This window comes from Homo sapiens, chromosome 9 (assembly GCF_000001405.40).
Source record: "Homo sapiens chromosome 9, GRCh38.p14 Primary Assembly".
Lineage (NCBI taxonomy): Eukaryota > Metazoa > Chordata > Mammalia > Primates > Hominidae > Homo > Homo sapiens.
Genome location: NC_000009.12, coordinates 85,822,011 through 85,839,185, shown reverse-complemented (window position 1 = coordinate 85,839,185; position 17,175 = coordinate 85,822,011). Strand labels below are relative to the sequence as shown.

The 17,175-nt window shown below is 36.3% G+C and overlaps 1 pseudogene across 1 annotated transcript in view; it reads right to left on the bottom strand.

Moving 5' to 3' along the window:
• Positions 1 to 17,175, bottom strand: part of LOC389765 (kinesin family member 27 pseudogene) — a 36,878-nt pseudogene that overhangs the window by 3,694 nt on the left and 16,009 nt on the right. The window contains exons 3-6 of the transcript NR_029410.1: positions 16,106 to 16,306; positions 9,580 to 9,723; positions 8,610 to 8,862; positions 1,221 to 1,427 (exon numbers count right to left, since the gene is read on the bottom strand). The product of NR_029410.1 is annotated as a kinesin family member 27 pseudogene (transcript). The remainder of the gene's footprint in view (positions 1 to 1,220; positions 1,428 to 8,609; positions 8,863 to 9,579; positions 9,724 to 16,105; positions 16,307 to 17,175) is intronic.

The window sequence follows — 17,175 nt, the reverse complement described above, 5'->3', positions numbered from 1 at the left end:
GACAATAGGCCCCCGTCATGTATTCTCTCCTAAAAAATCCTACCTGATTCTGAAAATCATCTTATATCTGATTTTTGTGCTTCTGCTGTCAGTCACCTAATTAGATCATCTGTCACATCAGCATCATGATAGATGGGCGTAAAGTTTTTTAGGTGGCCTCCCAATGGGGTATGAGGGAGGGGAATTCTTTAAGAAGAACCAACTCAAGAAGTACTGATCTAACAAATACAACGTACTAGACATGGCTATTTTATCCCATAACTGGCAGGCATCTAGTTTTCTCTTGTGAGAGTTTGGGAATTATTTAAGGAGCAAATAATAAAACCTTTTGTTCAGAGTCCAACTTCGTTCTCTGGGATTGTAATTTCCTTTTAAAATTTCTTAAATTATCAACTGAGGAAAAAGGTAAGTGTCCTATAACCATTAGGTCTACATTATTTAAGAAAATCTATGTACCTTCATTCTCCAAATCTGACTTTTGTAAAAAAGAAAACCAAATGTCCAGAGCTATTATAGTATTCATACCACCCAAGGCTGCCTGATGCAAAGTCCATGGCACTGCTCATGTATCACTTGCCTTTCATTTCTTATCCCTCTGACTGTAACAACCAGATGGATCTCACGTGAACAAATCATTTCCCTTCATAAAATGAGGAAATAGAAACCACAATTCATGAACCTGCTAAACCAAAACTCATGAATCTGCTAATTAAGTCTTTTCCATAATAGAGATTCTTTGATAATTCTTAAAACTGTGTGTGTATATATTTACCAACCACAAACTAAAATTTATATTGATATTTATATTGTCTTGATTATGTCTACTTGGTAAGACTGAATAGCATATAAATATTATTTCAAAAATGACAGACCAAACAAGTTGAAATAAATATCCTCTAACATCTCAACTTTGTGTGGTTAAAGGAAGAAATAAATTCATGTAGATATTAAACTTGGTCATGTCTGAAAATATGGCAAAGGATACCTTTTTCACATTGATGAAGTATAGACATTATCTCCATCCAACTATTCCCTCCAAATGTAACTGTGTATTCTCTTATTAGTTTTTTACTAGAAAGAAGTATGCTTAAAAGGTATATACAAAATTCCATAAAATCAAACAAAAAAAATCTGCTGAGACTGTATAAATACACTGTGATACTACACATGGCTAAAATTTTTTTAATCTCAAAATAAGGAAAAGATTGTTTGGACTTTACCCTCCTGGAATCTTGTCTTGATGGGATATAAATATAATGCCCCAAATGAGTATCAAATGGTACAGTATATGGTCTCTTTTCAGGGATCCTGGCATCTGGCCCGTCTCCACAATTTTCTTTAGCTGAAGAAGTCACTGACAGGTTAAGTTTTGTTAGTTCTTCACTCAGTTGATCCACAAGAAGTTGTTGTTCTATTATTTTTTCATTCTTTGTAGAAGAGAGACGAAAAATTTTAAAATAGAGCACTTCAGTACATTCAGATTATGATTAAAAACGAATTTTACATTGACCAAACTCATAACTACTTTAATAATACAGTCAATTCTCATTTATCCAGAGACTAGCCTTCTGGTGTTCACAAGTAACTAACATTGTTCTGAGTGGTAAAACCTTTTTAATAGTAAGGAGCAACAAACACAGCCAAAAAAGTCAAAAGTCAAATACTCAAAGATAACACCCCATCCACTGTGACTGGTTGCTTTGCCAACCTGAAGCACTTTGATTAGCTTTCTGTATTAAAGTATGGACTTTCTGAGTGAAATCCAAAAAGTAAAAAGAAACAAGAAAGTTCAAAAAGTGGAGAAAGAATTGTAGGCAGCAGAGTTTGCAGCAAAGGAGGCAGAAGGAGGTAACAAGTGCAGGGAAGTGAAAGCCTTAGTGAAAAAGGAAGCCAAAAGCAGACAGATAGAAGATAGCCAACTGATAGTCCTGAGAGGAAGGAGAACTTGGAAATCAAAGGCAGAACAAATTGTTTATCAGGAATGTGTGTGTGTGTTTGTGTATATGTGATTTAGTTTTTTTTGTGTATCCTCTAAAGAAAATTTTTGAAGTGTATCAAATCTAGAAAGTTCTAATGTCAATCTTTGTTTTACAAGCACAAATTTATGTAAATAAGAAACACTCATTCATCTTAATACTTCACATGTACTACAATGTTGAAATAGGAAAAAAAAAAAAACCTTATGTTTTCATTGTATAAATGCTGAGCAATAAAAATGCAACCTTACTTAAAAATCACGTATTCAGATAATTAAAATATACAACATCAAAGGATTCAATGGAGTTCTTACATTGCCTGGGAAAAGGATAAAAGTACCAATTAATATTAGGGTGCATGGTATACTCTCTAGGATAACCACTAAAAAAAGAGTAAAACTATAACTTCTAAGTTAGTGGAGAAAACAACAGAAAAAGAATAACCAACGATCCAAAGGAGGGAAAAAGGAACACAGACGAGGAAGGATAAATAAAAGGCACAATGGTGGATTTTTAACAAAACAGTAATTATGTTAAATTAATAAATGAATAATGAAATTAAAAGATAAAGACTATCAGAAAGGATTTTAAAATTATCTAACCATATGCTGCTTACAAGAAACATATCTAAAATAGACACAGAAAGATTAAAAATAAGATAGAAAAAGAGATACCATGTAAATATTAATCAAAAGAAAGCTGGTGTAGCCATAGTAATGTCAAGGTAGACTTTAAGGCAAAACTCATTAGATAAGAAGAGGTAAAAATGATTAAAAGAGCAATTCACCAGGATGGTATAACAATTCTACATTTGTATGCACTTAATAACACAGCTTCAATATTTGTAGTGTAAAAACTATCAGCACTTCATGGAGAAATAAGACAAATCCAAAATTATAGTAGGGCTGGGCACAGTAGGGCTCACACCTGTAATCCCAGCACACTGGGAGGCCAAGGCCAGTAGATCACTTGAGCCCAAGAGTTTGAGAGCAGCCTGGACGACATGGTGAAGAACCCCTTCTCTACAAAAAATACAAGAATTAGCAGGGCATTGTGGTGTGCGCCTGTGGTCCCAGCTACTCAGGAGGCTGAAGTGGGAGGACTGCTTGAGCCCACGAGGTCGAGGCTGCAGTGACTCATGATCGTGCCACTGTGCCCCAGCCTGGGTGACAGAGTGGAGGTCTGTCATAGTGGGAGATTTTAACATCACTTTATAAATTACTGATATAACAAAAAGACTTCAAAATTGAGTAAAAAATGTAGATTTGAATAATAGGATTAACAGTGCCCAATGATTGCAGAATGCATATTCTTCTCAAGTACCTCTGTAACATTTACAAACATTTGCCTTATTCTGAGCCAAAAAGCAAGTTTCAATACATTCAAAGGACTGAAATCAGAGATAGTATGTTATCTGATCACAACGCAATAAAAATTGATAAAACAAAAATAAATCCCTCATGTCCTGTAAATAAAATAACTATGTTATTCACAAATCAAAAAGTCACAATGAAAATTAGGAAACATTTTGAGCTCAATGTGGAGTGCAAGTCAAGATAAGCTTAGAAATATGTAATGTTAAATGCATATACCAAAGAAGAGAAGCTAAAAATCAATATACTAAATATTCATCTAAAGATGTTAAAAAGATAGCAGGAGGTTACCCCAAAAGTAGAAGGAATTAAATAATAAAGGGCAGAAATTGGTGAAATAGTGAACTAATGAAATAATGAACAAACATACACTAGTGAGGATTAACAAAGTCAAAAATTGTCTCTTTGAAGAGACTAATGAATTGGTAATTTTACTAGCTAGTGAAACTGCAAGAAAAAAAAGTGAGAGAAGGCACAAATAATCAGGAATGAAAAAGGGGACATGTGACTACACAGCTAAAGATATTAATGAATAAAAGACTATCATAAACAAACTTATGCCAATACATTTGAAAATTATATACAATGGTCAAATTCCTAGAAAAATAAACCTTATCAAAACTGGAGGAAAATAAAATACTAATATGATTTAATTCATAAAACATACCCCCAAAGAAAATTTCCAGTCCCAAATGCTTAACAGGCTAATTCAACCAAACATTTAAGAAAGAAATAATACCAATTTTCACACACTTTTCCAGGTATAGGGGGAATTAAATAATCTATATTATGAGGCCAGCATAACTTGTTACAATATCTGACAAGAATACTATGAGAAAGAAAAATATAGGACAAGCTTACTGACAAATATAAACATCACACTAGCAAACCAAATCTAGGTCAATTGTGCAGAAGAGTTAACATAGCAGACCTGACTGCTATCTTTTAGAAGATCTGCTATGAGGTTGTCAGATGTCTGAGAGCTTGGATTTTGGGAGTGTTCTTAAACACTCTGATAATACTGACTCACTGTGCTCAACTATTTGCACAATCAATGTGGTTTATGGTGTACACCTGCTTTCCTTGTAGTCTGGGACTCTGGTAGTCTGGGCTAGGCAAAGGGTGCCTTCATGACCCACGCATCCTCAATATAACCCATAGGCACTGAGTCTACTTAGTTCCCCTGCCAGATAACATTTTATAGGTGTTGTCACAACTCATTGCTGGGGGATTAAGCACATCCTCTGTGACTCTGCTGAGAGACAAGTCTTGGAAGCTTGTGCCTGGTTTCCTCCAGACTTTGTTCCATGTGTCTTTTTCCTTGCTGATCTTGCTCTGCATCCTTTCACTGTAATAAATCCTAGCCAGGAGAATGAATATATATTGAGTTCTCCTAGTACGTCATCCAATCTGAGGGTGGTTTTGGGGAACCCCCAATACAACAGTATATCGCAACATCAACAACAAAAAGGGTTTATTCCAGGAATAAAAGATTGGTTAAAAATCAGATCAATCGGCCGGGCTTTGTGGCTCACGCCTGTAATCCCAGCACTTTGGGAGGCCGAGGTGGGCAGATCATAAGGTCAGGAGATCGAGACCGAGACCATCCTGGCTAACACGGTGAAACCCCGTCTCCACTAAAAATGCAAAAAAAAAAATTAGCCAGGCGTGGTGGCGGGTGCCTGTAGTCCCAGCTACTTGGGAGGCTGAGGCAGGAGAATGGCATGAACCCGGGAGGCAGAGCTTGCAGTGAGCCGAGATCACACCACTGCACTCCAGCCTGGGTGACACAGTGAGACTCTGACTCAAAAAAAAAAAAAAAAAAAAAAAAAAAAATCAGGTCAATCAGTGTAATTCACCATATTAGCAGAATAAGGAAAAAAATCATATGATAAAGAAAAATCATTTGATAAAAATCAATATCCATTCATAATAAAAATTCTCAGTTATTTCCTTAGTTTGGGAAAGGGTAAATTAAAAATACCTATAGAAAATATAATACTTCAGAATGAAATTTTGAAAGCTTTTCCTCTATGATTGGAAACAAGACAAGGATGCTTTCTATCACCACTTGTATTCAACACTGCAGTGGAGATCCCAGCAAATATAAGAAGGTATTTTTATAATAACTTTATTGAGACAAAATTCACATACTATAGAATCCAACTATTTAAAGTATACAATATAGAAGATATAGAAGAAGAAAAAGATACAGAAGGTGAAAGGATTATAAAGGAAGAAATGAAACTGTTACTATTTGCAGATGACATAATTATAAATGAAAATCCAAAAGAATTTACAGATAAAATATTAGAATTAAAAAGCAAGTATAGACCGAGCACGGTGGCTAACGCCTGTAATCCCAGTACTTTGGGAGGCCAAGGCAGGTAGATCATTTGAGGTCAGAAGTGACTGACTGACATGTTGAAACCCTGTCTCTACTAAAAATACAAAAAAATTAGCCAGGCATGGTTGTGCATGCCTGTAGTCCCAGCTACTAGGGAGGCTGAGGCAGGAGAAGCACTTGAACCCAGGAGGCATAGGTTACAGTGAGCCGAGATCATGCCATTGCACTCCAGCCTGGATGACAGAGTGAGACTCTGTCTCAAAAAACAAACAAACAAACAAAAAAACAACAAAAACAAGTTTATAGCCAGGCGTGGCGCGGGTGCCTGTAATCCCAGCTACGCAGGAGACTGAGGCAGGAGAATCGCTTAAGCCTGGGAGGCAGAGGTTGCAGTGAGCGGAGATTGTGCCACTGCACTCTTATCTTGGGTGACACAGTGAGACTCCATCTCAAAAACAACAAAAAAAAGAAATTACTTCCAAAAAGTTTGGATCTTTTCCATTTATCTTGGGAATTTTGAAGGCTCCCCACCTGATGGTAACTGTAGACACTCCTGATCAAAAACTGAGTTTAGTCAGATTGCTGGATATATAATGTATTAATATCTAAAAATTAGTACAGTTCCACATACCAACAATTGGGGAATTTGAAAAATAAAATTTTTTAAAGATTCCAATTTACAGTGACAGAAAAAAATCAAGTACCTAAAAAGAAATCTATAAATTATTTGCAATATTTCTGCACAAAAAAAGTAGGCCATTACTGAGAAAAAACAAAGGAAATCTAAGTAAATAGAGAACTATACCATGCTTATGGATTAGGAGACTCAATCAAAATACGTTCATTAATTCTAAACAGATATATAAATGTAATTCAATGTTAATTAGTTAATTAATGTTAACCAACTTGATTGAATCTTTCTATAATGTATACATACATCAAAACATTACACTGTATCCCAGAAACATACAAAATTATTTGACCATGAAAAATAAATAAATGAAAATAGCGTACTTAGTGAAAGAAGTCACACACAAAGGCCACTTACTGTATGATTCCATTTGTATGAAATATTTAGAATAGGCAAATCCATAGAAGTAGAAAGTAAAGTGGTTTTTGCCAGGGGCTGAGGAAAGGAGGAAAATGAGGAGTGACTGCTAGTGGATACAATATTTTCATTTTGGGGTGATAAAAATATTCTAAAATTAGATGGTGTGATGGTTAGACAATTCTGTAAATACATAAAAAATCACTGAATTGTATATTTGAAGGGCTGCATTCTATAGTATGTGAATTATATCTCAATAAAGTAATTACTTAAAAAATTTAAAAATTAAAATAAAATTTATATGGAACAACCAAGACATCTGGGGAGTTGGGAGGGAAGGAGAACAGCAGAAGGCCTTGCTCTACAAAATATCTAGACTTATTATAAACCTACAATAAATAAGAAATGTGATCTTGGCTCAAGGAGATACAAATCAACCAACAGAATAGAAGGCCAAGAAATAGACAAGAGAGTCATGCACAAATGGACCTTGATTTATGATAAAGATAGATTTATGATAAAGATAGCACTCAAAACAATTGTGAAAAGATGGTTTCCAATAAATGATGCTAGAACAAATGAATATCTATATGTTTAAAAAATGAAATTTGATCTTTACTTTACTCCATACACAGAAATCAATTCCTGGAGGACTATACAGCTAAATGTGGAAGGCAAAACAATAAAGCTTCTGGAAGATAATATAGAAAGTATCCTCAGAGGAAACAATTGAGGAAAGGAAAAACTTATTAAATAGAGAACAAATACCATTAACCATAAAGGAAAAGATTGATGAATTTGATTACAATAACTCTTCATCAAAGATACCACTGAGAGTAAAAAGCAAGCCACAGAAAAATTATTTGCAATCATGTAAGTGACAAAGCGCTCACACCCAGAATATACAACAAACTCTACAAATTAATCTAGAAGACAGGTAACTCAATAGAAAAACAAACAAGAGACTTGAATGAGTACTTCACAAAGGAGGATATCCAAATAGCCAAAAACATATGAAAAAAATGCTCAACCTCACTAGTCATCAGGGAAATGCAAACTAAAGCCACAATAAAATGATACTACATGCCTACCAGATTGGCTAAGATTTAAAAATTAATAACAAATGTTGAGAAGCATATGGAACAGTGAGAATGCTCACATGGAATAGTGAGAATGCTGGGTGGGAGTATAAAGCGGAAAACAATTTGGTAACACCCACAAAAGTTGAAGATATACCTACCCTATGGCCTAGCAATTCAACTCCTAGGCACAAATCTGAAAGAAATGTATGTGCATGTGCACCGAGAGACACTGAAAATTCACGAGAAAATTTCACAGAAAGCCACAAATGTCCATCAAACAGTAGAACAGAAAATAAATTGTGGTATAGTCATACAATAAAATCCTATGTACCTATAAAACTAAACAAACCACAGTCACACATTACAGATAAAATATTAGAATTTACAGAAAAAATATTACAATTAAAAAGTGGATGAATCATAATAATGTTCAACAAAAGCAGCGAGATACTGAATAAGCTATACTGAATTAATAAAAATTCCAAAAACTAAACTGTAGTGTTGAAGGATACATATTTAGATAGTAAAACCATAAGAAAAGCAAAGAAATGATTACCATGTAAGTCAAGAGACTGGCTCTCTGAGGAAGAGGGAGGAATAATAATTGTAAGGAGGCACTAAAAATTTTGAGGCGCTGGCAGTTAGCAATTTCTTGACCTGGTGGTGGTTACCCAGCTGTTCTCTCTGTGATAAATCACTGATTAATATGTATTGTTTTGTATATACTTTAGTTTTATGTTTTTAAATTATTATACAATTAGGGCCAGGCATGGTGGCTCATACCTGTAATCAATCTCAGCACTTTGGGAAGCTGAGGTGGTAGGATCACTGAGCCCAGGAGTTCGAGACCAGCTTGAGCAACACAGTGAGACCCCGTCTCCACAAAAAAATCAGAAAATTAGCCGGGCGCGGTGGCATGCACCTGTGGTCACAGTTAGGAGGCTGAGGCGGGAGGATCACTTGAGCCTGGAAGGTCGAGACTGCAGTGAGCTGTGATTGTGCCAGCGCACACCAGCCTGAGCAACAGAATGAGATCCTGTCTCAAAACAAACAAAACAACAACAAAAACAAACAACAACAAAATACAATTAGAAGGGTTAAAAAAGAAAACAAAAATCAAACAACATGAAAATCAAAATCTGATGTGTGCTGGATCAGATTATTTCTCGGAGCATTAGTTATTCCCTGATAGGAAGCTAAAGGCTTTAAATGATATTAACTATTTGGGGTGATGGGAGAAGCCACAGCCAGGGAGTATAATATGTAGAGGCATACTATGTTATACTGTAGACATATCCATGTTAATATAATAGGAAAGCTAAGATAGAAAATTTGAAAGATGTAAGCAAAGTTAAAAAGCAAACCACTCACGAGGTATAAGAGGATAATTTAATACATTTTAAAGTTTAAATTATGTATTTACCATCCAACTCCTAACAATACTGCATTTCCTAATACCTTGGCAAACAACAGGAAGGAAAAGTATGGAAAAATAACCATGGTATGATTTATAAATTAATTTCCTGGGTATTATCTTTATATTTCTAAAACCAAAGTCAGGCTAACAATAAAAATGTTTCCATTTAAGCAGATTTAAAGGAAAAATTAATAATTCTCTCAGGTGCCTATGTTCAGAAGTCTTCAAATGAACATCCTTTTTTTAAGTTCCCATTTATCATTTAAAATGCTACTGTGTTTAGTTAGGTACTATTTCAAGAAAATCTACAGAGCTAGATGCATTAAGAAACTCTACCTGCAGTCTATTCACTTTTTGCGCTTCTTTCAAAGATACAGCATGCCCTTTGTTTTCCTGTACCATCATCTGCACTTGATTCTTCAGTTCCTTAACCTCCAGTTCCTTCTGATTAAATACTACTTCATCAGCAGCAAGCACACACTAGTGGGGAAAGAAGGCACAAGTGACATTCACCATGGAAAATAATCAAGAAACCCCATATGATAACACAAAAATGGTGATTTGATTATAGCTTGATGATGTCTCATAAATTTTTTTTCATTTTCAACTTTTTCTGATTTCTTTCTAAGAAAGGCAGAAAGAGTTCAGAGAACCTACCATTGCTATAACACAGGAATTCATTACCATGAAGACAGAAGATTTTCCTGATTTTTACTTCCTGTATATAAAAACTAGTTGTTTTGGTTCTAGAGTACCTTCACTAAGATTTTTACAAGTTTGCTAGAACTGCTATGAGATTTTAACGTGGATCACTCAAAGAGCTCACATTTTCCAAATTGACATATAGGGTTATAAGAATACATTAGGGCATTTGAATGAAGCAGATTTGCTGATTTTGTACACTTTCATTATGAAGAGATATATTTTGAAGATGTCTAAAAATGATTAAACAGTTTTACTTTTTGGTTTCTAGTAAATTTGCCGATTTTTAAGTACATTTGGGATATGTAAATAATAAAGTAGTTTTTAAATGAAATAAACAGAAAATTATTTGTCGAGAGCCTCATTCCACATATTGGCTTGGCATTTTAAAAATCTCACTAAATAAGATGTTGGTGTGGATGCGGTGATCAGGGAACACTTCTACACTGCTAGTGGGAATGTAAACTAGTACAGCCACTATGAACAACAGTGTGGAGATTCCTTGAAGGACTAAAAGTAGAACTACCATTTGATCCAGCAATCCCACACTACTGGGTATCTACCCAGAAGAAAAGAAGTCATTATACAAAAAAGATACTTGCACACGCATGTTTACAGCAGCACAATTCGCAACTGCAAAATTGTGGAACCAAACCAAATGCCTATCAATCAACGAATGGATAAAGAAACTGTGATTGATATATATATATATATATATATATATATATATATATATATATATATATATATATATATATATATATATATATCTATATCACAACTCCTATATAAACCAACTCCTATATGTGTCCCAACATTCAAGCTTCCAATTACCAGTACTTCCTGTTCCACCAGTTTCTTATACTAATGAGGAAGGGCCTGCTCTACCTAGACAGTTATTACCTTTCAGAAAAAAAAAGAACTAAAAAAAAGATTTAAGAAGTATTACCTTACCTGTTTTTATGCTATTATTTATTTATTCATTTATTTTTAGAGACAGGGTCTCACTCTGCCACCCAGGCTGGAGTGCAGTGGTGCAATCATAGCTCACTGCAGCCTTGAACTCCTGGGCTCAAGTAATCCTCCCACCTAAGCCTCCCGAGTAGGTGGGACCACAGGCGTATGCCACCATGCCTGGCTAGTTTTTTGATTTTTTGTAAAACAGGTCTCATTTTGTTTCCCAGACTGGTCTCAAACTCCTGGGCTCAAAACAATCCTCCAGCCTCAGCCTCCCAAAGTGCTGTGATTACAGGCATGAGCCACTGTGCTGGCTGAGACTAGTACATTTTAATGTACCGATCTTAATGTAACAAGATAGTTTCAAATCTCATATTTCAAGTAACTAGAAATTTCTGCTTGTTGAGTTTGGTGTAATAGGAAAGAAGAACATCCACAATTATCTGAAAAAATCAGTGAAATACTCCTCCCTTCAAACTATGCAATTATGAGGCTGAATTTTCTTTACAAACTTCAACCAAAACATATTGCAACAAACTGAATACTGAAGCAGATATGAAAATCCAACTTTCTGTTATTAGGTCAGATGTTAAAGAGATTTGCAAAAATGTAAAGGAATTCTACTCTTACTAAAATTTTTTGTGTGTTGGCCAGGTACGGTGGCTCATGCCTGTAATCCCAGCACTTTGGGAGGCCGAGGCGGGCGGATCATGAGGTAAGAGATGGAGACCATCCTAGCCAACATGGTGAAACCCCGTCTCTACAAAAATACAAAAATTAGCTGGGCATGGTGGCATGTGCCTATAGTCCCAGCTACTCGGGAGGCTGAGGCAGGAGAATTGCTTCAACCTGGGAGGCGGAGGTTGCAGTGAGCCAAGATCACGCCACCACACTCCAGCCTGGCGAGAGAGCAAGATTCCATCTCAAAAAAAAAAAAAATTGTTAGAAAATATTTTTCATTAAAAATGCCCTTTATATTAACATGTAATTGGGTTACTGTTAGTTTTGAATGAATAAATAGCTTAGATTTTTTCAGTTTTAATTCTAACACAGTAAATATCAATAGATATAACCCACATAAACAAAAGCTCTTTGAGGGATCTCGCTTTAAAAGTGTAAAGAAGTCATCCTGTGATCAAAAAGTTTGAGAACTTGAGCACTGCTGCAACAGAGGATAATACAAATGCCTTCTTTATAATATTACATGTAAAAAGGCTTTGAGGAAATATTTCTAGCTAGATAGAGAAATAAGCTTAGAGCCTAAAAAAAAGGAAATATACTTAACTATATTTCCTTTTTAACTAAAAAGCTATCTTTTTAAGTTTTCCTATTTTGAAAAATGGACAGAACCATGGAAGCTGGGAACCATGTTATCTCAGGAACAACTGAAGGACCATTCATTTGCTCACTAGCTTGCAAACTCCACCCAAGCAAGCAGTAACTAGGTGTGTCCTGTCCTCCACTATTCCCACGACATACAATCTTCACACAATAGTTTCTGAATGAAAAGCGGGGAAATGTAAATCTGAACTCAATACATGTACATATAACATGTATACATGTACATGCCTACATTCCTTAAACATTAATAAATATGCTAATTTGTTGGTTTTTTTAAAAACCTATACTCCAAACACAAGAGATGAAGTAATTTTTTCTTTCAAGAACTACTGACCGACAAAGGGAGAAAAACTCAGTAAAAGATAACTTAAGTTTTATTTCTGAAACAAGTTTATTTTCAGTCTCTAAATTGACAACCAGATCCACCGAGTTCTATTTAATAAATATAACAAATTAAAATACACTTTAACCGAAGGAGAAAGGAAGAGGAGCCAAGAAGGGTATGAATTGTGAGCAGGAAGCAATATGAAAGGGGAGGGTAGAAAGAAGGAAGTAAGAGACGCAAGTGGGATCTTTTTTTTTTTTTTTTTTTTGAGACGGAGTCTCGCTCTGTCCCCCAGGCTGGAGTGCAATGGCGCGATCTTGGCTCACTGCAAGCTCCGCCCCCTGGGTTCACGCCATTCTCCTGCCTCAGCCTCCCGAGTAGCTGGGACTACAGGCACCCGCCACAACGCCCGGCTAATTTTTTTGTATATTCAGTAGAGACGAGGTTTCACCGTGTTAGCCAGGATGGTCTCGATCTCCTGACCTCGTGATCCACCCGCCTCGGCCTCCCAAAGTGCTGGGATTACAGGCGTGAGCCACCGCACCCGGCCTATATCCAAAAATATTTCAAAGAGAAGTAGGTGGACTTAGGAATTGAATCAGAGAAGGAAAGCTCCTGATTTCATGCTCAAATTATATTGCCATAATTCCTCTTTACTCAGATACTGTCACATCACTATTTCTTTAAAAAATAATCATTTCAGTTTCATTATTTCCATCATGACGCTTTTTAAACAACCCAGTTCATTTAAAGTCCTGTAAGTCATAGTAAAACTTTCATTAAATTTTTCCAATGTTAGGCTATAAGTTAGCACTATGGTTCTTGAATGCAGATGCAAATCACCTGGTAGCTTTATAAAAAAGAAAGTGCCAATGCCCAGGTACCATCTCAGACCAATTAAATCAGAATCCCTGTGAAGTAGGACCCAGAAATCAGTATTTTTAAAAAGCTTCCCACGTGTACTAATTGTGTGGCAGCAAGCATGGACATCACTGCTTCATACAGAGATTCTAAAGAAATATGTCAAACAAATGCACTTTACTTGTGAGTGGGACATTATGTAAGACATACTGTAATTTAAGATCATTTGTAACATCCTTCCAAAATTTTTTCAGCATTGATATCAGATATGAAGTATTTTGATCAAGTTTATCAAGAGTGATAGTGAAGTGTATATACTTCTATTCTGCTTGATATTTTACAAAGAAGCATGTATTATTTTTGTAACTCTTTGATAAAAGATGAAAACATTCAATAATTGTATTCCATAAGATAAAGGAGCTCAAAACATCAGTCTGAATTTTATCCAGAAGAGATAAACTGTACTGAATTATCTAATAAGACCATAAGCTACCATATATAGTTTCTTCTTAAAAAAACAAAAACAAAAACAATTTCTTCAACCATGCAGGAATGCCAGGACAGGGGCTATAAAGATGCAAGATTTGCTGCCTCCTGTAGGCTGCTATTTGAATGACTAAAGCCATCTTACTTTCCTAGCTGCTAGGAAATTCCCTCCTCTGGCAGGATCTCCAGGAAGATTCTACTAAATATGGTTTTTAGGGGAAGAAGACATCCAAGAATAGGACAGGCATGGTGGCTCACGCCTGTAATTCTAGCACTTTGGGAGGCCAAAGCAGGCAGATCTCTTGAGCCCAAGAGTTCAAGACCAGCCTGGGCAACATGGTGAAACCCTGTCTCTACAAAAAAATACAAAAATTAGCCAGGTGTGGTGGCAGGTGCCTGTTAGTCCCAGCTACTCGGGAGGCTGGGGTAGGAGGATCACTTGAGCCCATGAGGTTGAGGCTGCAGTGAGCTGTGATTATGCCACTGCACTCCAGCCTGGCTGACAGAGGTAAGACCCTGTCTCCAAAAAAAAAAAAAAAAAAAAAAAAAAAAGAATAGTCACTGCAATATTATTTAATAATAGTTAAAACCTAGAAACAGCCTAAATGTCCAACAATGGAATATTAAATAACTATAAACACATTCATAAGACAAATTACCATATAAACATGAAGAGTCAAGTATGAAAAATATTTAATCATGTGCGAAAATATTCAAAATATAAATATTAAGTGAAATATAAAATGCAAAACTGTGTGTAGGGTTGCAAGTACATATTTTTAAAAAATTATATGGGCCAGGCACGGTGGCTTACGCCTGTAATCCCAGCACTTTGGGAGGCCGAGATGGGAGGATCACGAGGTCAGGAGATTGAGACCATAATGGCTAACACGGTGAAACTCTGTCTCTACTAAAAATACAAAAAATTAGCTGGGCATGGTGGCAGGCGCGTGTAGTCCCAGCTACTTGGGAGGCTGAGGCAGCAGAATGGCGTGAACCTGGGAGGCGGAGCTTGCAGCGAGCCCAGATCGCGCCACTGCACTCCAGCCTGGGTGACAGAGCAAGACTCCGTCTCAAAAAAAATAAATAAATAAATAAATAAATAAATTATATGTACCTAGAAAAATAATTCTGGAAGGAAACCCACCAAAAAGAGATGTTGGTATTTCTAGGCTCTAGAATTAAAGATAATCTTTTAACTTTCTTCCTTACACTTTCCTGTTTTGAAAATACTCTTGATGAACATGTTAGCTTTTAAACTAGAAAAGCATAAATTGTTATTCTTTAAAATATTTGCAGTTTGAGCCTCCCATTCTAACCTTCTCCCATTTCCAACAAATGGGTATTGGTTAATGAAATTAACAGGCTACTAATGCAGAAAGTCAGACCTTGAGGAACACAACAAAACAAACAGGTAAATGTCAATATCAAAAAACAAAAATATAAACTCTCAACTTTAAAAAAAGAAGTATGTGTGCTGGGACAAAAATCAAAGAAAAGAAAGGCAAGTTCTGGGTCAACTTTGATAAACACTTAAAGCAAAAGCCACCTCCAATCTCATGGTAGAGCTGAGAGGAAAAAAGATACAAAAACAAATTTAGCCTATATCACAGTCTCACCTGAAGTGAGTCTAGAGGGGAACGATAGGAATTCAGTATCTTGCATTACAAATTAATAACTTCACCTTACCAACCAGTCTGAACTACTTTTTCATCTGAGTGATTTAAGAGAGATTAATAGGCTGGGAGCAGTGGCTCACGCCTGTAATCCCAGCACTTTGAGAGGCTGAGGCAGGCGGATCACGAGGTCAGGAGTTCGAGACCAGCCTGACCAACATGGTGAAATCCTGTCTCTACTAAAAATACAAAAATTAGCCAGGCATGGTGGTGCGCACCTGTAATACTAGCTACTCGGGAGGCTAAGGCAGGAGAATCACTTGAACCCAGGAGGCAGAGGTTGCAGTGAGCCAAGATCGCACCACTACACTCTAGCCTGGGTGATGGAGTGAGACTCCATCTCAAAAAAAAAAGAGAGGGATTAATAATAAAGCTGTTCAATTTAAAAGTAAAAATAAATTCATTTTGCTTCTACATCTGTTTTTAAAGATTCCTTGGAATATATCCAGAAACTTAAAGCATTAAAGCATGTCTGTCTGCGAATGAAGGCAACTGATTAAGCGGGCTACTTTACCTGTGTTTCCTTTTTCATCTTTTCGGATGTGAAGATCTTTCATGGATGTCTCCAATTCTAGAAGATCTCTTAGGTCTTCCTTGTACACTTCTATATAAGATACTTTCACATTAAAGTCAATGCTAGGATGTTCAGAGATGCTTTGAAATATTTCTTGAATAGCTCGAAGAATGATACCCTTTTGGCCCTCCACAACTGAAGCTGAAAATTTAGAAAAAGAAAGCATATCTGGAACTTAAAACAAAAGAAAAGTTACAACCCCAAATTTATAGTTAATTTATTTTATCACATTTCTATATATTATAACTTTTTTTTTGGCGGGGGGATGGAGTCTTGCTCTGTTGCCCAGGCTGGAGCGCAGTGGTACAATCTCAGCTCACTGCAACCTCCGATTATCAAATTCAAGCAATTCTCCTGCCTCAGCCTCCTGAGTAGCTGGGATTACAGATGCCCACCACCAGACTATTATAACTCTTTTAAACCACAACTATAAAATTAACAAGTGAACGTTTTCACATGTATCCCCTTACCAAGAATTCATTCATGCATTCACTGAACAAATATTTATTTAGTATCTACTATGTGCCAGGCACTATTCTAGGACTCTGCAGTCCACCAATAAACAAAACAGGGAGAAAAGAAATCCCTTCCCTGGTGAGATTCTGCTGAGGAAAGACAGACAATAGCAAAAAAGAATAACTGATAAGTGAATTACATGGCGTATTAAAAAGTGTTAATTGTACCTGGAGGAAAAAAAACACGGCAGCGTAAGGGGACTAGAAGTGTAACCACCAGCCAAGAGATGCTTGCAACTTTAAATAGGAAGGTCATGGTGGGCATCATTCAGAAGGTGACATCTGAGAAAAGACTTGAAAGAGGCCGAGTGCAGTGGCTCACGCCTGTAATCCCAGACTTTGGGAGGCTGAAGCAGGCAGATCACTTGAGCCCAGGAGTTCAAGACCAGCTTGGGCAACATGGTGAAACCCTGTCCCTACTAAAAATACAAAAATTAGCTAGCTAGGTGTGGCGGCCCATGCCTGTAATCCCAAATATTTGGGTGGCTAAGGCAT